The sequence below is a fragment of the Homo sapiens genome, chromosome 3, assembly GCF_000001405.40.
Source record: "Homo sapiens chromosome 3, GRCh38.p14 Primary Assembly".
In the NCBI taxonomy this organism is placed as follows: domain Eukaryota; kingdom Metazoa; phylum Chordata; class Mammalia; order Primates; family Hominidae; genus Homo; species Homo sapiens.
Genome location: NC_000003.12, coordinates 11,403,922 through 11,430,439, shown reverse-complemented (window position 1 = coordinate 11,430,439; position 26,518 = coordinate 11,403,922). Strand labels below are relative to the sequence as shown.

Here is a 26,518-nt window from a genome sequence, read left to right as displayed (position 1 = left end):
GAATGCAGAATTCTGTGTTTTTATTACTGACCACCTGTAAACGCATTGAGAATCAAGTATGTAAATCAAAACACTACTTTTACACAGATATACGTAAAGGTATATATATATTTTAACATATATTTATATATTTTGCTTATATGCGCATACACACATTTTTCAAAGTAATAGAAAATGATGTAGTTAGAACAGTAATTTTTGTTGCTAGGAGGTCCTCTACTAAGTACTATATTTCAAACCTTATCTTAAAACACAGTCCTATTCAGAGTTAAGAAAAATAATGATCCTTTTTGAAGACGGGTTATAAGCTCAAATACCTATTAAGGGTCACCTACTAAAGGGCATCATCTAAATAAAGAATATAACCTAAAGAATATCTCTGGGCAGGAAAGTAACAACAGTGTTTGTCTCCAGGAAAGGAACTGAGGAGCTAAGGGACCTGTATAGAAGGAAGATATCCTTTTCACAGAATTTTTTTTTTTTTTTTTTTTCCTGAGACAGAGTCTCGCTCTGTCGCCCAGGCTGGAATTCAGTCGCGCGATTTCAGCTCACTGCAACCTCTGCCTCCCTGGTTCAAGCAATTTTCCTGCCTCATCCCAGAGTAGCTGGGACTACAGGCGCACATTGCCACACCGGGCTAGATTTTGTATTTTTAGTAGAGATGAGGTTTCGCCGTGTTGCCCAGGCTGGTCTCAAACTCCTGAGCTCAGGCACTCCACCAGCCTTGGCCTCCCAAAGTGCTAGGATTAGAGGCATGAGCCACCATGCCCAGCCCAGAGTATTTCGTAATACCTTTAAATTTTATATCAAGTGCATTATCTATAAACTTTGCTTCTTGGCTCTAGCTAACCATCACTATTAAGAGATGCATGTCTGGAGTTCCCAGATCTGATTTTTCAAAGTTGGAAATGGGAAAATTCAGACCCTCTTGTGATTTTTTTTTTGAGATGGAGTCTCGCTCTGTCGCCCAGGCTGGAGTGCAGTGGCGCCATCTTGGTTCACTGCAACCTTTGCTTCCCGGGTTCAAGTCACTCTCCTGCCTCAGCCTCCCGAGTAACTGGGATTACAGGCATGTGCCACCATGCCCGACTAATTTTTGCATTTTTAGTAGAGACGGGGTTTCACCATGTTGGCCAGGCTGGTCTCAAACTCCTGACCTCAGGTGATCTGCCCCCCTCGGCCTCCCAAAGTGCTAGGATTACAGCTGTGAGCCACCACGCCCCGCCTAAAACTTGTGGTTTTTAAATGATGGCTTTATTCAGAATTTAACAAACTGGGCAGGCCAAAAAATACATACCTGCAAGCCGTATCTGGCTCACAGGCCAAACAGTTTACCATCTCTAATCTAAAATTTGATGTGACGTATGATTCCAAAACTAAAGATATAATTTAGTAGAGGAAAATTCAAAAAGAAAACTCAGGCTCGTGGATGAAACCATGCTCCCTTCTGCTCCACCATCTATTTAGTCACTATTGCTTTTAAACTTTCTCTAAGTCTTTGAAAAAGCCATTAAGGTTTGACCAACTAAAATGTAAGATAAACCAGGTTAAATCTAGAAACCTACCCACTATTCTAGCAACTGCTCTGTTTTAAAGAGTGAAAAATTGGGTCAATTTCAGGTTGAAATTCTTCTAGCTAACAATACATAAGTTACTTCTAGCTGGGTGGCAAAACTTCCTTAGCCATCAAATGACTGTATGTTTACAAACATCTATGTTACCTCTTCCATACCATCAGGCAGTACAGCATTGCTTAAAAGATAATACGGCAGACAATAAACACAATGTTCTGAACCCTGCCTGGGAACCCAATCACAATTCAGGGGAAAAATACCTTAAAGTCTCTCAAAGAGCAGCAGAGATGCCATTCATCTCCTGAAACTTGAAATAGACTCTTTGTGGCTCTAACTATTGGCCATAAGTGGAAGACTGCATCTGTTTAATGCCCAGAGGGCACCAAAACAATTTAAAGAAGGACTGCCTTCAGTTTAAGTCCAGCACTAGAGATGTACTATCTTGCCTCCCTGGTGTACCTGAAAAATCTCACAATCTGCTCAAACCTCCAATGGGTCTGACTTTGGTATTTCTACATGGTCTTCCTATACTCAGCACTAGCTCCACCTCTCCAAACAGCAGCCCTTTCACCACTGGCTGGTCCAGTATTGGGCCTGGCCATCTATTCATTGACAACTTGGGGCCTCCCTGAATGGTGAGGATATGCAACCTATGGAGGAATTTATAGATCTTTGCACCCATGCAATCATTTGACAAGATGGCTGGGGGAGTTTTGCCACCTAGCTAGAAATAATTTATATATTTCTCTTTAGCTGGTGGGAAGAATTGCAACTTAAAAGGACTAATGGCAAGTGCACTACCCCTGCAGGACACAGGAAGTCAAGGTTTTCCTTATATAGTTTGTGGAAACACAACATAAGCTACATTTCTCCTCATGGCTTCTTTATCCAGGTAACTAAGGGGAAAAGATTGATTTAATCTCACTCATCAATTCTGAGGAATTGCACATTTTGCCAAGTGATCCAAATAGCTCTACCACCATACACAGCATTCCCTTTTCTAAGAACAGCGAGCATTTGGAAAAACACAATAATTTTTTTTTTTTTTTTTGAGACGGAGTCTCGCACCGTCGCCCGGACTGGAGTGCAGTGGCACAATCTCGGCTCATTGCAACCTCTGCCTCCAGGATTCAAGCAATTCTCCTGCCTCAGCCTCCCGAGTGGCTGGGATTACACGTGCCTGCCACCATGCCCACCTAATTTTTTTATTTTAGTGAAGACACGGTTTCACTATGTTGGCCAGGCTGGTCTCAAACTCCTGACCTTGTGACCCACCCACCTTGGCCTCTCAAAGTGCTTGGATTATAGGCATGAGCCACCTCGCCCGGCCGATAATTTATTTCTTAAACTCAGTCTTTAAAAAAAAAAAAAAAATGATGCAATGACCCAGGAAATTAAGATCTGCAAAATATTTTAGCTGAGAAACAAAGCATAACTCTCTCGGGTTGTGTCTGGGGAAGCCATTTCATGGTGGGGTTCAGGGTCTAAGAAGACTGATCAAATCGTGAAAAAGCCAGGCATGTTCTTTCTGAAGAACATGGCCAGAGTCCAATACCTTCTTTCTAAAGAACATAGCTGGAGTCCAATGTCTTTACCAACTTACATTTTGATATATGGACATTAAAGCCAACTCTCTCCAATGGTCATACACATGCAGATCTTCAGTAAGGACAAGAGGTGCCTGGAAATCTACAACCTATACTTCCTTTATCACACTGATTTTGTGTATTAGGCACCTACTGGACAGCAACCTACACACATCAGTATCCAGCACTTGCTGAGGGTTATTCGTTCTCTGGTAACTAGCAGACTTATTTAGTGATATTTGCTCTAAGTTACAAAAATTAAAATTAATTGCTTTCTTCCTTTTCCATATGGCGAATATCAAATAGTTTTAAGCATGTCAGTCTTCACTACAGAAAGCTTGTTTTGTTCTTACCTCAGCAGCTTGGGTTTCTTGATGCAGCAATGTAAGACCAGTCAAGTCTTCTAAGAAGGAATGTGAAGAATTAAACACCTTGGCTAGGAAGTTAAATCCTTCTCGTTCATATTGATCAAGAACCTGTAAAACATTTACATTTTTTAAAAAGGAGTCTCCAGACTTAAAATGCAAATTAAAAGACTTTCACTTCTAACAAGCTCTTGTCAAAAATAAAATTAAAATGAGAATTAAACATGGGGATAATAATGCAATCTAGTGGCCAAAAAACTAGTACGGCTTAGTATTTATCATCTTTTCCCTTCTTAGAATAACAATAACATTATCTTCCAGTTTGAGTACCAATGTTTTCTCAAAGTAAGTTTCATGCAAATTCACTAAAAATTCTAGAAAAGTTAGGAGTAGTTAGTGGCTCTAAAGTTCAGTGGTTAGAAAAGAACAGGTGAGAGAAAAGCCAAGAAAATAAATTTAAAAGGATAAATGAGAAGGGAGGAGAAAAAGGATTTTGTCAAAAAAGTGTGACATACGAGCTAGCCAAATATATTTTTAAAAATAATTTTAAAATGGAAAAATAAATTTCAATAGGTACTTCACAAAAGAGGATATCCAAAGAGCCAATAAACATGAAAATGGGCTCCATGGCATGAGTAGTTGATATGAAAACTGAAACCACAATGAAACACTACTTTGCACCTATCAAAAAGACTAAAATGACAAAGAAAATACCAAGTGCTGGCAAGGATGTGGAACAACCAGGACTCTATGCCCTATGATGCAGCAATTCTACTCTATGTGTATATACACCCAACAAAAATGTGTACATATGTGCACCAGAAGACACAAACAAAAGTGTCCACAGCAGCGCTATTCATGATAGCCCAAAACTAGAAACCATTGAGGTGACCATCAACAGTAGAATGAACAAATGGATTGTGGTATAGTCATGCAATGGAATACTATATATCAGTGAGAACAAACTACCTTCAAACATAATGTTACACAAAAGAAAGAAGCAGTATGTACTGTACAATTACATTTATATAAAATTAAAATGAAATAGGCAACATGAATCTGTGGTGTTAGGAGAAAAGATAGTGGCTACCCACAGAGAGACTGTAAGGGGCACAAGGGACATTCCAAGGTGCTGGCAATAATTTATTTATCTAAGCATTGGTTACATAAGGTGTACTTCTTGAGAATTCATTAAGTTGAACAGAAGACTTATGTGTTTTTTTTGGATATATGTTATCCTTACATAGAAAGTTAAGAAATAAAAGGCCTATACACTTGAGAGGAGACTAGGAGAACAGTAAAGAGTTCTTAGAAACAATGAGTATCACATTTAGGAATTCAGTGATCACAGGGACTGTGAAACGTAGAACGCTGAACCAGAATGCCTCAGAAATTCTCTGGGAACTCACAAGAAATAAAGAGATGAATGCTTTAAAAAGATAGCAGACATTGAAGACATATCTAAGAAATCAACAATGCATAAACAGACCAGAACAGTAATTATACAAGAAATAGATTTTTTTTCTTTTCAGAAGATGAAAATGCAGGCACCCTTTAATCTAGCAATTCCACTTTTAAGACTTCATAATGATAAAGCTGTACATGGGCACAAAGACTTATGTTGTAAGGATGCTTACTGAAACACTGTTTGGGCCAGGCACGATGGCTCATGCCTGTAATCCTAGCATTTTGGGTGGCCAAGGCAGGAGGACTGCTTGAGCTTAGGAGTTCAGGACCAACCTGGGCAACATAGTGAGACCTTGTCTCCACAAAAAAACTTAAAAATTAGCCAGGCATGGTGGAGTGCACCTGTAATTCCAGCTACTTGGGAAGCTAAAGTGGGAGGATCACCTGAACTCAGGAGGTTGAGGCTGCAACTAGTTATGATCACACCACTGCACTCCAACCTGGGTGACAGAGTCTTCAAAAACAAAAAAAAGGGATATTTTGCATCCATTAAAAGAATGAGGCAGGTCTATAGTACTGACACAAATTGTTTTCCAAAACATAGCAATATATTTAAAAAGCAATATCTAGACTGTGTATAGATAGTATTTGTGTTCAAAAAGAGTGGAAGGAGGAGACAGGAAGAAGAAGAAATGCATGGATGTACATACTTGTTTATGCATGTATCATCTATGGAAGAATATCTCTGGCAGAATGCAAATACACACAAACTGACATCAAATAGTAGCCTCTGTAGATTATTTTATACTACTTTAACTTTTAAATCCATGTGCATGTGTTACTTAATAATTATTCAATATTTATTAAAATAAGATTTTTAAATATTTAATATTAAAAATTAATATTTATTAAAATTAAAATTATTTAATTGCCACCGATAATAAATACACCATAATTTAATCAGCTCTCTGTTAAAGGGTAGTGCTTTCTAACTTTTGTTGCTGCAATCAGTGTTTTTTTTGTTGTTGTTGGTGACAGTCTCGCTCTGTCACCTAGGCTGGAGTGCAATGGCACAATTACAGCTTACTGCAGCCTCAACCTCCTGGGTTCAGGTGATCCTCCCACCTTTATTTAATGTTAATAAACAATATTATTTAACATTGAATATTTAATATTTCTTAAAACCAAATGTTATTTAACATTTATTAAAATTAGACAATTTTAAATATTAATATAAAAATACTAAAATCTTTAGTTGGTTTTTGTTTTTGTTTAGTGCTGAGGCAGAACTCTAAAGCACTGATGAAGAGGTTGGCACTGGAAAGGAGGGGCAGCTCTCCCCCAGGGGCAGGAATGAGGAGGGAAGGTTGAGCAAAGCTGCAGCAGTGAAAAGCGAAAGGACCAGGCGACGGGAGGCAGGGGAGCTCTAGGGTCTAGATAGCTGGCAGGAAGTCCTCTGTGACCCGAGAAGGGTTAGACTATGGGGCTTGAGAAGAGTGGTGACCCTGAGGCCCAGCTGTGCAGAGAGTCGGAGAAGAGAGGTTGACTGGCACATTTAAACAGTGTGGAACAATCTGACGCCTCTGGTCAGGACAGAAAAATACAAATTTGGGGAGAAAAGAAATTAAGAACCCATCTAAGCCAAGGGACTGGCAGAATAAGGATCAAAAGGTTAAGGTCAGAGAAACTGAGGGGCTGGTGAGCACCACTGAAGGGACTGGGAAAGAGTCCTGGCTGGTAAGAAAAGACCTGCAGGCTGTTAGGATCAGAGAGACTGCAAGTCCTAGAGAGCTGGGGGAGTGTAGGACCATTACGTGCGTAGAGTCAAGCCCAGGCTGATTAGCCATGGGAAATTAATTTGACAGCCTAACCCCCTGGAAAAAAAAAAGGCATTTAATAAATAACTCAATTCCTCAGTAATAACAAGATTCCTTATAAACCAGAATGTTACGTCAGGAAAAAATGTCCACTGAAATTAAGTGATCTTTTTTGAAATGTTGAGTACTATGTGTTTAGTGATTACAAAAGAAAAAAAAATTGAAAGTTGTGGCAACCCCGCATTGAGCAAAGGAATCAATACCATTTTTCCAACACCATGTGCTCACTTCGTGTCTCTGTCACATTTTGGTAATTCTCACAATATTTCAAACTTTTTCATTATTATTATATCTGTTGTGGTGATCTGTGATCAGTGGTCTTTGATGTTACTATTGTAATTGTTTTGGGGCACCACAAACTGTACCTATATAAGATGGCGACCTTAATAGATAAATGTAGTATGTGTTCTGACCGATTCACCAACTGGCCATTCCTCCATCTCTCTCCCTCTCTTTGGGCCTATTTCCTGCAACAAAACAATACTGAATGTAGGCCAATTACAACGGCCTCAAAGTGTCCAAGTGAAAGGAAGAGTCACACATTTCTCACTTTAAATCGAGAGCTAGAAATAGGCCAAGCCCGGTGGCTCATGCCTATTTGTAATCCCAGCACTTTGAGAGGCCAAGGTGGGTGGATCACTTGAGGTCAGAAGTTCAAGACCAGCCTGGCCAACATGGTGAAACCCCGTCTCTATTAAAAATACAAACATTAGCTGGGCATAGTGGCGCACGCCTGTAATCCCAGCTACCTGGGAAGCTGAGGCAAGAGAATCACTTAAACCCAGGAGGCGGACGTTGCAGTGAGCTGAGATTGCGCCACACTGCACTCCAGCCTGGGCAACGGAGTGAGACTCTGTCTCCAAAAAAAAAAAAAAAAAAAAAAAAAAAAAGCTAGAAATGATTAAGCATAGTGAGGAAGGCATGTCAAAAGCTGAGACATGCTAAAAAAAAGCTAAACCTCTTGCACCAAACAGCCAAGTTGTTAATGCCAAGGGAAAGTTCTAGAAGGAAATTATAAGTGCTACTCCAATGAACACACAAAAATAAAGTAAAAGAGCTACAGAGAAAGTTTTAGTGATCTGGAAGATCAAACCAGCCACAATATCCCCTTAAGGCAAAGCCCAATCCAGAGCAAAGCTAAAAGTCCCTTTACTTCTATGAAGGCTGAGAGAGGTAAGGAGGCTACAGAGGCACAGCTGGAAGCTAGCAGAGGTTGGCTAATGAGGTTTAAGGAAAGAAGCTGTCTCCATAACATAAAAGTGAGAGGCGAAGCAGCAAGTACTGATGTAGAAGCTGCAACATGTTATTATGAGATCTAGCTCAGAAAATTGAGAAATGTGGCTAAACAACAGATTTTTAACATAGATGAAACCGTCTTCTAGTGGAAGAAGATGCCACCTAGGACTTTCGTAGCTACAGAGGAGAAGTCAATGCCTGGCTTTAAAGCTTCAAAAAATAGGCTGACTCCCTTGGTCAAGACCAAAACAGCTGGTGACTTTTAAGTTGAAGCCAATGCTTACTGACCATTCTAAAAATCCTAGGGCCCTTAAAAATTATGCTAAATCTTCTCTGCCTGTGCTCTATAACCGAAACAACAAAATCTGGGTAACAGCACATCTGTTTACGGCACAGTTTACTGAATATCTTAAGCCCACTGTTGAGACCTACTGCTCAGAAAAAAAGGTTCCTTTCAAAATATTACTGCTCACTGACAATGCACCTGGTCACCCAGGAGGTCTGATGGAGATGTACAAAGAGATAAATGTTGTTTTCATGCATGCTAAGACAATATCCATTTCTGCAGCCCTTGTGCCAAGGAGTAATTTTGACTTCCAAGTCTTATTATTTAAAAAATACATTTAATAAGGCAATAGCTGCCATACAGGGTGATTTCTCTGATGGATCTGATCAAAGCAAATTAAAAACCTTCTGGAAAGGATTCACCATTCTAGATACGAGTATTCGTGATTCATGGAAGGAGGTCAAAATATCAACATCAAAAGGAGTTTGAAAGAAGTTGATTCCAACCCTCATGGATGACTTTGAGGGGTTCAAGAGGAAGTCACTGTAGGTGTGGTGAAAAAATCAAGGGAACTAAAAGTGGAGCCTGAAGATGTGACTGAATTGCTGCAATCTCAGGATCAAACTTGAACAGATGAGGAGTTGCTTCTTACAGGTAAGCAAAGAGAGTGGTTTCTAGATGGAATCTATTCCTGATGAAGATGCTGTGAACATTGTTGAAATGACAACTAAAGATTTAGAACATCATGTTGATAAAGTGGCAGCAGCATTTGAGAGGACAACTCCAATTTTTAAAGACGTTCTGCTGTGGGTAAAATGCTATCAAACAGCACTGCATGCTACAGAGGAATATCTTCTGAAAGGAAAAGCCAACTGCTGCAACAAACTTGTCTTTTTCTAAGAAAATGCCACAGCCACCCCAACCTTTGGCAACTACCACCCTGATCAGGTGGCCACCATCAATATCAATGCAAGAACCTCCACCAGCAAAAAGATTACAACTTGCTGAAAGCTCAATATTGTTAGCATTTTTTAGCAAAAAAAAAGTATTTTGTGGCCAGGCGTGGTGGCTCACGCCTGTAATCCCAGCACTTTGGGAGGCTGAGGCAGGCGGATCACGAGGTCAGGAGATTGAGACCATCCTGGCTAACACGGTGAAACCCCATCTCTACTAAAAATACAAAAAATTAGCCGGACAAGGTGGCATACACCTGTAGTCCCAGCTACTCAGGAGGCTGAGGCAGGAGAATGGCATGAACCCAGGAAGCAGAGCTTGCAGTGAGCCGAGATCGCGCCATTGCACTCCAGCCTGGGCAACAAGTGAGACTCTGTCTCAAAAAAAAAAAAAAAAAAAAAGTATTTTGTATTACTTAAGGTATGCATGTATTTTTAGACATAATGCTATTGCACACTTAATAGACTACAGTATAGTAAAAATGTAACTTTTATATGCACTGAGAAACCAAAGGAATTGTGAGACTTGATTTACTGCAATATTAGCTGCATTGTGGTGGTCTGCCCCATAATCTAAGATATGCCTGTAAATAGCCATCTTCTGCCAGGTTTCCAGTAAGACAAAAGAACAATTAAGTTTGAAAAATTGACAACATCTTTGAATAAAAATTGGAAGAGCCCCAGACATGATACTTTGTTAGACTCCAGTTAAACATTCAGATTGTATGTTTCCACAGATAATTTTATAGTGCTACATATCTGACCACGGAAAAACTAACAGCAAGGGCAGAATGAAAAAAACAAAAAAAGGCCTCCTCCATAATGAGGATGTACAGAAAGTTTAATGCTGGAACATTATTAATAGCACTGGCTTAAAAATATGTGGAAAAACTTAATCCTCTAGGGGCATATTTAATCATGTAAGGGTTCTCCAGTATTCTTTTTATGTGCTGTGAAGTTAATCTGTGTTATAAGTGGCTTACAAAAAGTACAAGGATTTTTCCCCCCAAACATCCTAGCCTTCTTAAAAAGGAAAATGTATTTAAAACTACCCAAAAAAGAAAAGAAAATGAAAAGATGTTATCACAAAGAATTTGAACAAGAACCTGTCAGTCTATGTAAAACATAGCACAATTCTTAAGTGAACTGCATTATGCATAGTCCTGAGAAGGGTATACATTACATTTTGGAAGGCTGTAAATATTCTGAAGGTACTGAGAGAGTTTGCAAAATAGAGAAGTAATAATGACTCTTTTAGTAGAAAGATCCTTTCATAATCCATGATTTTCCTTGCTTGTTTTGGGAGGCTAGGTTTTCTCTATGAACACACACACCTTGGACAAAGATGGTAGAATCTCTTCTTAAAACATGATTTTTAGAGTATTGCCTTGCTAAGACACTTTGGTGACTCCTTACTCTTTACTATATCAAACCTATCTTCTCTGCCTAGGCATTTCAGCGCCCCCACACCCTTCTAATTTTCGGCAACTCTCTGGAAAATGCCTTTCACAGAGTCTAAGATCTCCTGACAACACCATATAATGATTTTCAATTCATGAGAAGCAAAATGGGTTTGTAGTGTGTTTTTTTTTGTTTGTTTTGAGACAAGAGTCTCACTCTGTTGCCCAGGCTGGAGTACAGTGACGTGATCTTGGCTCACTGCAGCCTCTGCCTCCTGGGTTCAAGCAATTCTCCTGCCTTAGCCACCCCAGTAGCTGGGATTACAGGCGCACACCACCATTCCTGGCTAATTTTTGTATTGTTAGTAGAGATGGGGTTTTGCCATGTTGCCCAGGCTCGTCTCAGAACTCCTGGCCTCAAGCGATCCACCCACCTCGGCCTCCCAAAGTGCTGGGATTACAGGTGTTAGCCACCATGCCCAGCTTGTTTGTCTATTATTCTTAAACAATGACTCCAGGAAATGTACACTCTATCTAAAAACAATTGCTAATGTATTTTCAAAGAGGGGAGGAAACATGAAGTTTTTATTAACTTCTTGTTTAGCATTATACTTACTTGCTCTTGATGACTTAAAAAATACACGTGCATGTATTTCTCAAAAACTTCAGTGAGGTCACAGGAGAAACCACTTGATATGCTTTGGCTCTGTGTCCCCACTAAATCTCATCTAAAATTGTAATCCCATGTCAGGGGAGGGACCTGGTGGGCGGTGACTGGATCGGGGGGGAGGGGCAGTTTCCCATGCTGTTCTTGCGATAGCGAGTTCTCATGAGATCTGATGATTTAAAAGTGGCACTTCCCCCTTTGCTCTCTTTCTCCTGCCGCCATGTAAGAAGTGCCTTGCTTCCCCTTCCACCATAATTGTAAGTTTCCTGAGGCCTCCCCAGCAATGTGGAACTGTGAGTCAATTAAACCTCTTTTCTTTATAAATTACCCAGTTTCAGGTAGTTCTTGATAGTAGTGTGAAAACAGGCTAAGACACCACTGCTCCCAGAACTGGAGAGACAGTCAGGTGGATACAGAGAATCACAACAGGCTGGAGCAGAAACCTCCACAGAAACTGGGAGAGGGGCAGAAAAACAAACTGTAGCTGACAAAAATTGCTAGGTGTGGACAAGCCCCAGTGATAAAAACTCCAGGGGGACCTAGTTATAGGGAGGCCCCCATGCTTTTGTGAGTTTTACTTACAGGAGCTAAACCAGGTTCTCTCAGTAAATACTCGAGAAAAATCTCTTTTGCTTCCAGCAAAGGGAGATAAAAGAAGCCATATTGAAATATGTTGGTTGGGGACAGTGGCTCACACCTGTAACCCCAGCACTTTGGGGGAGCTGAGATAGGAGGATCACTTGAGTCCAGGAGTTCAAGGCCAGCCTGGGCAACATTTTGTAGACCAGGTCTCTACAAAATATAAAAAAAAAAAAAAATAGCCAGGTATGGTGACATATGCCTGTAGTCCCAGCTACTTGGGAGACTATGGTGGGAGGATGGCTTAAACCCGGGAGGTTGAGGCTGCAGTGAGCTGAGATCGCACGATTGCACTCCAGCCTGGACAACAGAGTGAGACCCTACCTTAAAAAATATACAGGCCAGGCGCTGTGGCTCATGCCTGTAATCCCAGCACTTTGGGAGGCCGAGGCGGGTGGATAACGAGGTTAGGAGATCGAGACCATCCTGGCTAACACAGTGAAACCCCCGTCTCTACTAAAAAAAATACAAAAAATCAGCCAAGAATGGTGGTGGGTGCCTGTAGTCCCAGCTACTCGGGAGGCTGAGGCAGAATGGCGTGAACCCAGAAGGCAGAGCTTTCAGTGAGCCAAGATGCACCACTGCACTCCAGCCTGGGTGATAGAGCAAGACTCTGTCTCAAAAAAAAAAAAAATAAAATAAAATAAAATAATAATAATAATAATTTTTTAAATGCTGGTAAACCACAAAAGGCAAGAAAAAGGACTAGAAGACAAATATAGCAAAAAAGAACAAAGGTGACAAATGGAAAATAGTTACAAATATGGCAGATATTAATCCAATTATATCAATAATCAGTGATCTGAATGTACCAATTAAAAGGCAGATTATTATAATGGAACAAGAAATAAAACCCAATTATATGGTATCTAAAAGAAAATCAATTTAAATAAAGACATTTATTCATTAAACGTAGATGGAAAAAAATACGCCATGCTAACACTAATGAAAAGTAAGTAGAAGTATCTGAATTAATTTCAGATAGAACAGACTTCAAAGCAAATAATGTTATTAGATAAAGAAGGGCATTACATAATAATAAAGGGCTCAATTCTCCAGTAAGACACAGTTCTTAATGCGTATGTACTTAACAACAGTGCATCAAAATACATGAGGTAAAAACTAACAGTACGGCAAGAAGAAATAGACGAATCTACTTTTGTAGCTGTAGACTTCAATACTGCTCTATCAGAAGTAGAAAGATCCAGCAGACAGAAGGTTAAAAAGGACGCACTTGAACTCAAAACACTATTTATTAATCAACTGGATAGAATTCACCTCTCTCTTTCATCCAACAACCACAGAATACACATTCTTCTCACATTCACATGGAATATTCACCAAGGTAGAACATTCTGGGCCATAAAACATACTTTAACAAATTTAAAAGAAAAGAAATCATAAAGAGTCTGCTCTCAGACCACAATGGAACCCAGAAATTCACAACAGAAAGATAATTGGAATATCTCAATATATGTAAGGTTGAACAATAACACATGAATAAAAAATCTCAAGATAAATTTAAAATATTTAAACTAAATAGAAATGAAAACACAATGTATCAAAATTCATGAGATGCAGGGAAAGAAATGCTTAGAGACAGAAATCTGTATCACTGAAATAATATATTAGAAAAGAAGAAAGACCTAAAATCAATCATCTGATCTTACACCTTAGGTAACAAGAGCAGCAAATTAAATCCACAGTAAGCAGAAGAAAAGAGAATAAAAACTAGAGGAGAAATCAATGACACTGAAAACAGAAAATCAATGGAGAAACAAACAATCAATAAAACCAAAAGCTAGTTCTTTGACAAGGTAAATTGATAAGCCTCCAATTAGACTAAGATAAAAAGAGAGAATCACTTTTTAGTGATAGTATTCCTTTATTATCCTTTTCATGTCTATGAGATCTGTATTGATGAAAAGGATAATAAAAGAATACTATCAACAACTCCGTATCTAGAAATTTGATAAACTAAATGAATTGAACCAATTATTTAAAGACAGAATCCACCAAAACTCAAATAAGAAAAAAATGGAAATTCTAAACAGGCCTATTTCTATAAAATAAATTGAATCAATAATTAATAACCTTCCCAAATAGAAAGCACCAGGCCCAGATGGGCTCACTGGGGGAATTCTGCCAAACATTTAAGAAAGAGATTATACCAATCATCTACAATCTCTTTCAGAAGACAGAAGCAAAGGGAATACTTCCTAATTCATTCTATAAGGCCAGCATCACCCTAATACCAAAGCCAGATAAAGACATTACTAGAAAACTACAGACCAATATATCTCATGAACATAGATGTAAGAATCTTAAAATATTAGCAAATCGAATCCAATGATACAGTAATGCACCACATGACATTTCAGTCAAGGAGGAACTGCATATACAATGGGTGGTCCCACAGATTATAATGGAGCCGAAAAATTCCTAATCCCTAGTGAAGCTGTAGCCATCACAATGTCATAGTGCAACAACATTACTTCCATGTTTGTGGTGATGCTGGTGTAAATAAACTACTGTGCTGCCCGTAGCATAAAAGTGTACCACGTACAATTATATATAGTACATAATACTTGATAATCAACTATGTTATGTTTATATATTTACTATACTATACATGTTAGCATTATTTTAGCAAAGTGTAATCCCTCTACTTATTTAAAAAAAAAAAAAAAAGTTAACTGCATTCCAGAAGAAGGCATTGCTATCATAAGAGATGACAGCTCTATGCATGTTATTGCCCCTGAAGACCTTCCAGTGGGTCACGATGTAGAGGTGGAAGGCAGTGATACTGATGATCCTGACCCTGAGTAGGCGTAGGCTAATGTGTATGTTGTGTCTTAGTTTTTAACAAAAATGTTTAAATAATAAAATAAAAATTTTTAAAGGAAAAAATGTATAGGATAAGGGTATAAAGAAAAAATGTTTTTGTATGGCTGTACAATTTGTGTTTTAAGCTAGGTGTTGTTACAAAAGAGTAAAAAAAGTTTTTAATCAAAACATTTATAAAGTGAAAAAGGTTACAGTAAGCTAAAGGTAATTTATTACTGAAGACAGAAAAATATTTTTTAAGTTTAGTGTTGTTTTTCAAGGCTACAGTGGTGTACAAAATGTCCTAGACCTTCACAGTCACTCACTACTGACTCACCCAGAGCAACTTCCAGCCCTACAAACTCCATTTATGGTAAGTATTCTGCACAGGTGTACCATTTTAAAAAAATCTTTTATACCATACTTTTACTGTACTTTTTCTATATTGAGATACATTGAGATACACAAGTACTTACCGTTGTGTTATAGTTGTCTACAGTGTTCATTACAGTTACATACTGTACAGGCTTGCAGCCTAGGAGCAACAAGCTATGCCATATAGCCTAGGTGTGCAGTAGGCTTATGCTGTCACGGTTTGTATAAGGACACTTTACGATATTCATACAACAATGAAATCACCAAACACATTTCTCAGAAGGTATCCCCATCGTTTAGCAACACATGACTGTATATAAAAAGAATTATATGCCACGATCATGTAGGATTTATCCCAGGTGCACAAGCCTGGTTCAACATTTGAAAATCAATATAAACCATCACATCCATAGGCAAAAGAAGAAAATCACATCATATCAATAGGTGCAGAAAGAACATTTTACAAAATTGAACAGTCATTTATGACAAAAACTCTCAGTAAACTAGGAACAGAGGGAAACTTCAACTTGATAAAGAACATCCACAAAATCTCTACATCTAAGAATTTAACTAATGGTGGATGAAAAACCAGAAGTTTCTCCATGAAGGCAAGAAGGCAAGAAAACAGGAACAAGGCAAGAAAATCCCCTTACCACTCCTTTTCAACATCATAATAGAAGGCCTAGCTAATGAAATAAGACAAGAAAAAGAAATAAAGGGTATTCTGATTGGGAAGGAAGAAATAAAACTGTCTGTTCATAGATGACATGCCTGCCCACGTAGAAAATCCAAATAAATAAAAACACTGTTGGAACTAACACGCAATCACAGCAACACTGCAGGATACATAGGGTGCAGGATACATAGTCAATAAATAAGACTAGGCTGGGCACGGTGGCTCATGCCTGTAATCCCAGTACTGTGGGAGGCCGAGGTGGGTGGATGACCTGAAGTCAGGACTTTGAGACCAGCCTGGCCAACAAGATGAAACTCCATCTCTACTAAAAATTTAAAAATTAGCTAGGTGTGGTGGTGTGCACCTGGAATCCCAGCTACTCAGGAAGCTGAAGCAGGAAAATCACTTGAACCTGGGAGGAGGTGGAGGTTACAGTGAGCCAAGATGGCACTCCAGCCTGGGCAACAAGAGCAAGACTCCATGTCAAAAACAAAACAAAACAAAACAAAAAACTCCATTATTTTCCAGTATACCAGCAATGAACAAGTGGAATTTGAAATTACAAACCTAATACCATAACCTAGATGAAACAGACAAATTCCTAGAAACACAAAACCCATCAGAATGAAATCACAAGGAAATGGAAAATCTGAATAGACCTATAACCAATAAGGAGATTGAATCAGTAATCAGAAATCTCCTGGCAAACAAAAGCCCTGCACCTGATGGTTCCACTGGTGAGTTCTATCAAACATTTAAAGAACTAGTACCACTGCTTTTCAAACTTTTCTAAAGAATTAAAGATGGAACACTTCCTAAGTCATTCTATGAGGCCAGCAGTAGCCTGACACCAAAGCTAGACAAAGGCACTATGAGAAAACCATGGACTAATACCACTTATAAATTAATGCAAAAATCCTCAATGAAATAACAGTAAACTGTGTTGACTTTGCATTCTGCTACTTTGCTGAATTCATTTATTAAGTCAGTTTTTTGTGTGACATCTTTACAGTTTTCTACATATTAGATTATATCTTATATTAAAAGGATTATACAACATGACCAAGTGAGATTTATTCCTGGAATGCAAGGACGAAAAACCAATGTAACACACCATATAAACTGAAGAAAGTGGGGCGGGGGGGAAGCCACACAATCATCTCGATTGATGCAGAAAAAGCATTTGACAAAATTCAACCCCTTTCATGATAAAAACACTTAAACTAGGAATAGAAGGAAACTGCCTCAACATAATAAAAGCCATATGCAACAAAACCCACAGCAAATATACACAGTGATGAAAGAAGGAACGCTTTCTCTCTAAGATCAGGAAAAAGGCAAGGATGCCTAATTTCACCACTTCTATTCAACACAGTACTAGAAGTTCTAGCCAGAGAAATCAGTCAAGGAAAATAAATAAAAGGCATCCAAATTGAAAAGGAAGAAGTAAAACGATTTCTGCTTGCAAATGATATGATTTTACATGTACAAAACCCTACAGTCTACAAAAACTGAATTCAGCAAAGCAGCAGGATACAAAGTTAACATAAAAACCAGTTACGTTTCTATGCACTAATAATGAACAATCTAAAAAAAGAAACTATAAGTTTATTTACAATAGCATCAAAAAGAATATAATACTTAGGAATTAACTTCAGGTGAAAGACTTATACAATAAAAATTATAAAACAATGCTGAAATTAAAGACATCATAAATAAATGGAAATACACCCCATCATAAATAAATGGAAACACACCCCATATTCATGAATTGGAAGAATTAGTATTGTTAAGATCCTACCCAAGGAAATCTACAGATTCATTGTGATCTCTATACAAATCCAACGGTGTTTTTTGCAGAAATAAAAAAAAAGCCATCCTAAAATTCATATGTAATCTTAAGAGACACTTAATTGCCAAAACAATCTTGAAGAAGAGGAGCAAAGCTGGAGGACTCACACTTCCTGATTTCCAAACTTACTACAAAGCTACAGTAATCAAATTTACTATAGTACAAAGCTACAAAGTTCAGCATAGTACCGCATAAAGACAAGACATATTCATAGACCAACGAAACAGAATAGAGAGCGCAGAAACAATCCTCACAGATACAGTCTCAATTTTTGACAAGAGTGCCAAGATCATCCAACAAAAAAAAGTGAAACCAACCCAAGAGTCCCACAGATAGTTGTTTTTGGATAAACATGGAAATTGACCCTTCTGCTGTTAAAGCTTGAAACTCATATTTGTTTTATCTGAGTTCCTTCCCTCAGGAAAGGACCTTCAGGCCTACTAAAAAAAAAAAAAAAAAGAATCAAATAACTGGAACTCATCAGATCACAGCACCAGATGCTTCCTTACCCCTCTCTAGTTTTTATTTTCTTACATATTGTTATGTTTCCTCCCTGCTATATAAAGCCCTAGTTTTAGTCAGTCAGGGAGATGGATTTGAGACTGAGCTCCTATCTCCTTGGCTGCAGCACCAGATTTAAAGCCTTGTTTCTTGGCCACACTTGTCTCAGTGATTGGCTTTCTGTGCACCAAGCAGCAGCAGGACCTAGACAGAATACCCTGGTGTTTCAGTAAAAAAAAAAAGGACAGTCTTTTGAATGAATGATACTGGGAAAACTGGATATCCACAGGCAAAAGAAGGAAATTGGACTCTCACCTAACACCATATTAAAAAATTAACTCAAAATAGATCAAAGACCTAAATGGAAGACCTAAAACTATAAAACTTTTAGAAGAAAACACAGGGCAAAAGCTGCACAACAATGGATTTAGCAATGATTTCTTAAATATGACATCAAAGGCACAGGAAACAAAAAAAATAGACTGAATTTCATAGATGGACAACATCAACAGAGTAAAAAGGCAACTTCTGGAATGGGACAAAATAATCTGAAAATCATATCTGATAAGAATTTTTTTTTTTTTTTTTTTTTTTTTTTTTGGAGACAGAGTCTTGCTGTGTCACCAGGCTGGAGTGCAGTGGCGTGATCTCGGCTCACTGCAACCTCCACCTCCCAGGTTCAAGTGAGTCTCCTGCCTCAGGCTCCTGAGTAGCTGAGACTCAGGCACACACCACCATGCCTGGCTAATTTTTGTATTTTTAGAGACGGGGTTTCACCATGTTGGCCAGGATGGTCTCCATCTCTTGACCTCATGATCCGCCCACCTTGGGCTCCCAAAGTGCTGGGATTACAGGCATGAGCCACCGTGCCCAGCCCTGATAAGAAATTAATATACAGAACATACAGGTAATTCTAAAACTCAACAACAAACAACCAAGTTTAAAAATGGGCAGATGATGTGAACAGACATTTCTCTAAAGATATACAAATGGCCAATAAGCACACGAAAAGATGCTCAACATCACTGATAATTAGAGAACTGCAAGTAAAACAGTGAGACCCCACCTCACATACATTAGAATGGCTACTATTTTACAACGAAAAAGAAAAATAACAAGTGTTGATGAGCATGTGACGATAAAAAAAGACTTCTACATTGCTGATTGGAATGTAACATGCTGCAGCCACCATAAAAAATAGCATGGCAGTTACTTAAAAAAATTAAAAGAGAATTATTAGATCCAGCAATTCAATTCTGGATATATACCCAAAAGAATCCAGCAATTCAATTCTGGCTATACACCCAAAAGAATTAAAAGCAGGGAACTGAAGAAATAGTTGTACACTCATGTACATAACAGCATTATTCACAATAGCTAAAATGTGGATGCAATCCAAGTGTCCATCCATGGATGAATGGATAAACAAAATGTAGTATATGCTACATACAATGAAATATTATTCAACCTTAAAGAGGAAGGAAATTCTGACACATGCTACACCATGGAGTAACTTTGAGAGCATTATACTAAATGGAATAAGCCAATCACAAAAAGACAAATAATGTATGACTCTACTTATGAGGGACTTAGAAAAGTGGCTGGCAGGGCTGGAGAGAGAAGAAAATGGGGAGTTATTGTTTGATGGTTATAGAGTTTCAGTTCTATAAAAGAAAAGAATTGTGAAGGTAAGTGGTGGTGATAACTGCCAATATTATGAAGGAATTTAATACCACTGAGCTGTACATTTAAAAACAGAATGGCAAATTTTATATGTATTCTATCACATAAAAAATTGAAAGAAAAATCTATGAATAAAGTACATTTGTCAACAAGACAAATTTCTGAATTGATGTTCAAATACTATCAAATTTTAATTTAAAAAAAAATACAATATCATTCACATTAGCAACACCCAAAAATACCTAGGTACAAATCTAACAAAATGTGTACAAGATGTACATATGGAGAACTACTGCTGAGAGAAGTTGGAGACAATCTAAAAATAAAGTGATATTTCTTGTTCATGGATAGGAGGACTTAATATGTCGAGATGTCAAGTTTTTCCCAATTTGACCTATAGAGTCAATGCAATCACATCAAAATCACAGCAATGTATTGTGTAGATATAAAACAAGCTGATTGTAAAGTTTTTGTAGGGAGGCAAAAGACCCAGATAAGCCAACATAATATTAAAGGACAAAGTTGGAGGATTGACACTACCTAACTTCTAGACCAACTGTACAGCTACAGTCAGCAAGACAGTGTGGTTGGTGAAAGAATAAAAAAATATATCACAGAACAGAATAGAAAGCCCAGAATTAGACCCACCTTAGTCAACTGATCTTTGACAATGGGGCAAAGGCAACACAATGCAGAAAAGATAATCTGTTCAACAAATCGTGCTGTAGCAACTGGACAACCACATGGAAAAAAAAAAAAAAGAATCTAGACACACACCTTACACCCCATCACAAAAAATAACTCAAAATGTATCACAGACCTACCTACATATAAAACACAAAACTATAAACCTCCTATGGGATAACATGGGAGAAAATCTAGATGACTCTGGGTTTGGCAATGTCTTTTTAGATACAACACCAAAGGCATGATCTATGAAAGAAAAACAGATGCTCATCAACTTATGATGGGGGTATACACCAACTATAAGTTGAAAACACCCTAAATATAAAATGCATTTATTACACCTAACTACTGAACATCATAGCTGAGCCTACCCTAGCCTCCCTTAAACGTGTTCAGAACATTTATGTCAGCCTGCAGTTGGGCAAGATCGTCTGGCAACACAGTGCAACATAGAGTACTAGTCAATAGTTGTTTACCCTCACGATCGTGTGGTTGAGTGGAGCTGCAGCTTGCTGCCACTGCATGGCATCTCAAGAGAATATCATACTACATCACTAGCCTGGGAAAATATCAAAATTCACAATTTGAAATATGTTTCTAATGAATGCCTATTACTCTCACACCATGGTAAATTGAAAAATTGTAAGTCAAACTATTATAAGTCAAGGACCATCTGTAACTGGTAGGCTAGACTTTATTAAAATTAAACATTTCTGCTCTGAAAAAGAAACTATCAGAAGGATGAAAAGACCAGCTGCAGGCCACGAGAAACTATTTACAAAAGACACATTTAATAAAGGACTATTATCCAAAATACATGAAGAACTCTTAGAACACAACAATAAAAATACAAACAACCCAATTAAAAAATGAGCCAAAGATCTTAACAGATACCTCACCAAAGAAGATATACAAGTAAGCATATGAAAAGATGCTCTGGCCAGCAAGATGGCTCACACCTGTAATCCCAGCATTTTGGGAGACTAATATGGATTTGCTGTGTCCCCACCCAAATCTCATCTTGCAGCTCCCATAATTCCAATGTGTTATGGGAAGGACCCAGTGGGAGACTACTGAATCATGGGGGTGGGTCTTTCCCATGCTGTTCTCATGATAGTTAATGGGTCACACAAGATATGGCAGTTTTAACGAGGCGTTCCCCTGTACAAGCTCTCTCTTTGCCCGCTGCCATCCATGTAAGATGTGACTTGCTCCTCCTTACCTTCCACCAGGATTGTAAGGCCTCCCCAACCATGTGGAACTGTAAGTCCAATAAACCTCTTAATTTTGTAAATTGCCCAGTCTCGGGTATGTCTTTATCAACAGCATAAAAATGTACTAATCCAGTAATCTGGTACCAGGAATGGGGTGTTGCTGAAAAGATACCCAAAATGTGGAAGCAAATATGGAACTGGGTAACAGGCAGAGGTTGGAACAGTTTGGAGGGCTCAGAAGAAGACAGCAAAATGTGGGAAAGTTTGGAACTTCCTAGAGACTTGCTGAATGGCTTTGACAAAAATGCTGATAGTGATATAAACAAGGTCCAGGCTAAGGTGGTCTCAAATGGAGATGAGGAACTTGTTGGGAACTGGAACAAAGGTGGCTTTTGCTATGTTTTAGCAAAGAGACTGGTGTCATTTTGTCCTGCCCTAGAGATTTGTGGAACTTTGAACTTGAGAGATGATTTAGAGTATCTGGCAGAAGAAATTTCTAAGCAGCAAAGCATTCAAGAGGTAACTTGGGTTCTGTCAAAGGCATTCAGTTTCAAAAGGGAAACAGAGCATAAAAGTTTAGAAAGTTTGCAGCCTGACAATGCAATAGAAAAGAAAATCCCATTTTCTGAGGAGAAATTCAAGCCAGCTGCAGAAGTTTGCTTAAGTAACTAGGAGCCAAAATGTTAATCACCAAGACAATGGGGAAAATGCCTCCAGGGCATGTCAGAGAACTTTGTGGCAGCCCCTCCCACTACAGGCCCTGAAGCCTAGGAGGAAAAAATGGTTTCAAGGGCTGAGCCCAGGGTCCCTGTGCTGTGTACAGCCTAAGGACTTGGTGCCCTGCATCCCAGACACTCCAGCTGTGGCTGAAAGGGGCCAACACAGAGTTCATGCCATGGCTTCAGAGAATGCAAGCCCCAAGACTTGACAGCTTCCACGTGGTTTTGAGCCTGCAAGTACACAGAAGTCAAGAATTGAGGTTTGGGAACCTATGCCTAGATTTCAGAAGATGTATGGAAACACCTGGATGCCCAGGCTGAAGTTTGCTGTAGGGGTGGGGTCCTCATGGAGAACCTCTGCTAGGGCAGTGTGGAAGGAAAATGTGGGGTGAGAGCCCCCACACAGAGTTCCTACTGGGGCACTGCCTAGTGAAGCTGTGAGAAGAGGGCCACTGTCCTCTAGACCTCAGAATGATAGATCCACTGACAACTGTGCTGTGTGCCTGGAAGAGCCAGACACTCAACGCCAGTCTGTGAAAGCAGCCAGGAGGGAGGCTGCACCCTGCAAAGCCACAGGGGCAGAGCTGCCCAAGACCATGGGAACCAATCATGCCTTCCCACCTCTTGCATCAGCATGACCTGGATGTGAGACACGGAGTCAAAGGAGATCATTTTGGAGCTTTAAGATTTGACTGCCTCACTGGATTTCAGACTTGTATGGAGCCTGAGCTCCTTTGTTTTGGTCAATTTCTCCAATTTGGAATGGCTGTATGTACCCAATGCCTGTACCCCCATTATATCTAGGAAGTAACTAACTTGCTTTTGATTTATATAGGCTCATAGGCAGAAGGGACTTGCCTTGTCTCAGAAGAGACTTTGGACTACTGCGTTAATGCTGAAATTAGTTGAGACTTTGGGGGACTGTTGGGAAGACATGATTGGTTTTGAAATGTGAAGATACGAAATTTGAGAGGGACGGGGCCAGAATGATATGGTTTGGCTCTGTGTCCCCAACCAAATCTCATCTTGTGGCTCCCATAATTCCCATATGTTATGGGAGGGACCCAGTGGGAGATGATTGAATCATGGGGGTGGGTCTTTCCCATGCTGCTCTGGTGATGGTTAATGGGTCTTATGAGATCTGATGGTTTTAAGAATGGGAGTTTCTCTGCACAAGCTCTGTTTTCCTGCTGCCATCCACGTAAGATGTGACTTGCTCCTCCTTACCTTCCACCAGGATTGTGAGGCCTCCCCAGCCATGTGGAACTGTAAGTCTGATAAACCTCCTTCTTTTGTAAACTGCCCAGTCTTGGGTATATCTTTATCAGCAGCATGAAAATGGACTAATACAGAGGCCGAGGCAAGAGGACTGCTTGAAGCCATGAGTTCAAGGCCAGCCTGGGCAATATAGCAAGATGTCATCTCTACAAATTTTTTTTTTAAGTTAACTGGGCACAGTAGCAGGTGCTTGTAATCTCAGTAACTTGGTGGGGGACTGAGGCAGGAGAATCACTTAATCCAGGAATTGGAGGCTTCAGTGAGCCATGACTGCACCACTGCCCTCCAGCCTGGGTGATGGGGCAAGAAACTGTCTCAAAAAAACATGGCAATAGAAATGCTACATATGGGCTGGGTATGGTGGCTCATGCCTGTGATCCCAGCACTTTGAGAGGCTGGGGTGGGCAGATCACTTGAGTCCAGGAGTTAGAGACCAGCCTTGGCAATATGATGAAACCCCATTTCTACCAAAAATACAAAAATTAGCCAGGCGTGGGGATGTGCGCCTATAGTCCCAGCCACTTGGGAGACTGAGGTGAGAGGATCGCTTGAGCCTGGGAGGCAGAGGTTGCAGTGAGCCGGGATCATGCCACTACACTCCAGCCTGGGTAACAGAGTGAGATTCCATCTACAAAAAACAAAAACAAAAACAAAAAAAAGCAAGGAAGGAAGGAAGAAAAGGAAAGGAAGGAAAGAGAAATGCTACACATGGCCAGGTGCAGTGGGATTACAGGCATCATGCCTATAATCCTAGCACTTTGGGAGGCCAAGGCGGTGGATGTCTTAAGCCCAGAAGTTTAGGACCAGCCTGGGAAACACAGCGAAACCCCATCTCTACAAAAAATTATCCAGGCGTGGTGACATGCATTTGTAGTCCCAGCTACTTGGGAGGCTGAAGTGGGAGAATCACCTGAGCCTGGGAAGTTGAGGCTGCACTGAGCCATGATCACAACACTGCACTCCAGCCTGGACGACAGAGTGAGAGATCCTGTCTCAAAAATAAAAATAATAAAAAAAAAGAAATGCTACATACTTACTACTTGTAAAATATAATTATTGCCAAATAGGGCTTGATAAACACAGAAAATACATGACAAGATGACACATAGCAATGTCAGCAAAAATAGTGGAGTAAGAACCTCTGAAAATCCTTTCTATAAGGGGAAAGAGAAGGCTGACAAAATCTGGGGCTGTGTATTCAAGAAAAACTGAATCTTGGTAAAACAATAAGCTTTTTGGCATTTCAACTTCTCCTATTCTCATCGCCTCACCCCCTCAAGCTCCATAGTAGCCTTGAACATCAGTAACACATAATCACAGTGAAAACCGGCAGCCCAATAGTCAGTGGGGGCAAGGGGGTGGGGGTGGAGTTTAGAGTCAGAGCTTCTATAAATCTTCATTTTTAGAAAATGTCACCTGTATGGTGTCAGGAAGATCCACTGACAAAATGTCCTCATTTGACCTGATTCAGAATTCACCCAGCCTTTTTTCCAGGGCCAACTGTTGAAAACTATCAGAGGCAACTGTTTAACATCATGATCTCCTGACTTGGTATGTAACAGCTGAAGTAACAATAAGCCAACAAAAAGCTTTAAAAAATCTGGAAAATACTAAAGGAGGCTTTGAAAAGCTGAAGCATATTCTTAAGAATCTAGAAAATATGTGATATGATTTGGCTGTGTCCCCACCCAAATCTCATCTTGAATTGTAGCTCCCATAATTCCCATGTGTTGTGGGAGGGACCCAATAGGAGGTAACTGAATCATGGGGGCGGGTCTTTCTCATGCCGTTCTCATGATAGTGAATAAGTCTCACGAGATCTGATGGTTTTATAAAGGGAGTTCCCCTCCACAAGCCCTTGTCTGCTGCCACATAAGATGTGCCTTTGCTTCCCTTTTGCTTTCCACCATGATTGTGAGGCCTCCTCAGCCATGTGGAACTGTAAGTCCATTAAACCTCTTTCCCTTATAAATTACCCAGTCTCAGGTATGTCTTTATGAGCAGCATGAGAAAGACTAATACAACATGGCACAGGCACAAGGCTAGGTACATGCCCAAAACCACACACCTGCTCAGGGAAGATCTGAGAAGGCCCTAAACTCAGTCTAGCTGACCTTAAGAATGCAAGCAGGAGATAAAAGGCAAGGCAGAGGTATTAATGGCTTGGCTGAGCATTGAAGGCTGGTTAAAAAAATTTGAGCTGGAGCCGGCCATGGTGGCTCATGCCCGTATCCCAGCACTTTGGGAGGCCAACCAGGGCAGATCACTTGAAGTCAGGAGTTCATGACCAGCCTGGCCAATATGGTGAAACGCCATCTCTACTAAAAATAAAAAAATTAGTCGGGCATGGTGGCGAGCACCTGTAATCCCAGCTACTCGGGAGGCTGAGGCAGGACAATCACTTGAACCCGGGAGATGGAGGTTGCAGTGAGCCGAGAAGATCGCACCACTGCACTCCGGTCTGGGCGACAGAGCAAGACTCTACCGCAAAAAAAAAAAAAAAAAAAAAAAAATTGAGCTGGTTAATAAGCAGGACATTATAAAAATCAAAATGTTTAAATGGATGCTCTGACCAATTAATCCAATATTTGAGATTATACTATTGTAGGTCAAAAATCTGGGGGGGAGATTTCTTTTAAATATTGATATGTCAACAAGGAGGTAAATTGGAAAAATGCAAACAAAAAGACATTCCAAGAGCAGTAACAGCCAAAACT

The 26,518-nt window shown here is 39.6% G+C and overlaps 1 protein-coding gene across 38 annotated transcripts in view; it reads right to left on the bottom strand.

The window, feature by feature from the left end:
* ATG7 (autophagy related 7) overlaps positions 1-26,518 on the bottom strand; it is a 303,957-nt gene that overhangs the window by 145,914 nt on the left and 131,525 nt on the right. For 37 of the 38 annotated variants that reach the window (XR_007095622.1, XR_007095623.1, NM_001349238.2 and 34 more), the window contains one exon: positions 3,514-3,636. The exons of the other annotated variant lie outside the window; for it this stretch is intronic. Coding sequence is in view for 35 of the 37 variants with exons in the window: in NM_001349238.2 (NP_001336167.1) it covers positions 3,514-3,636 (123 nt within the window). In the remaining 2 variants the exon portion in view is untranslated. The remainder of the gene's footprint in view (positions 1-3,513; positions 3,637-26,518) is intronic. 38 annotated transcript variants of the gene reach the window in all.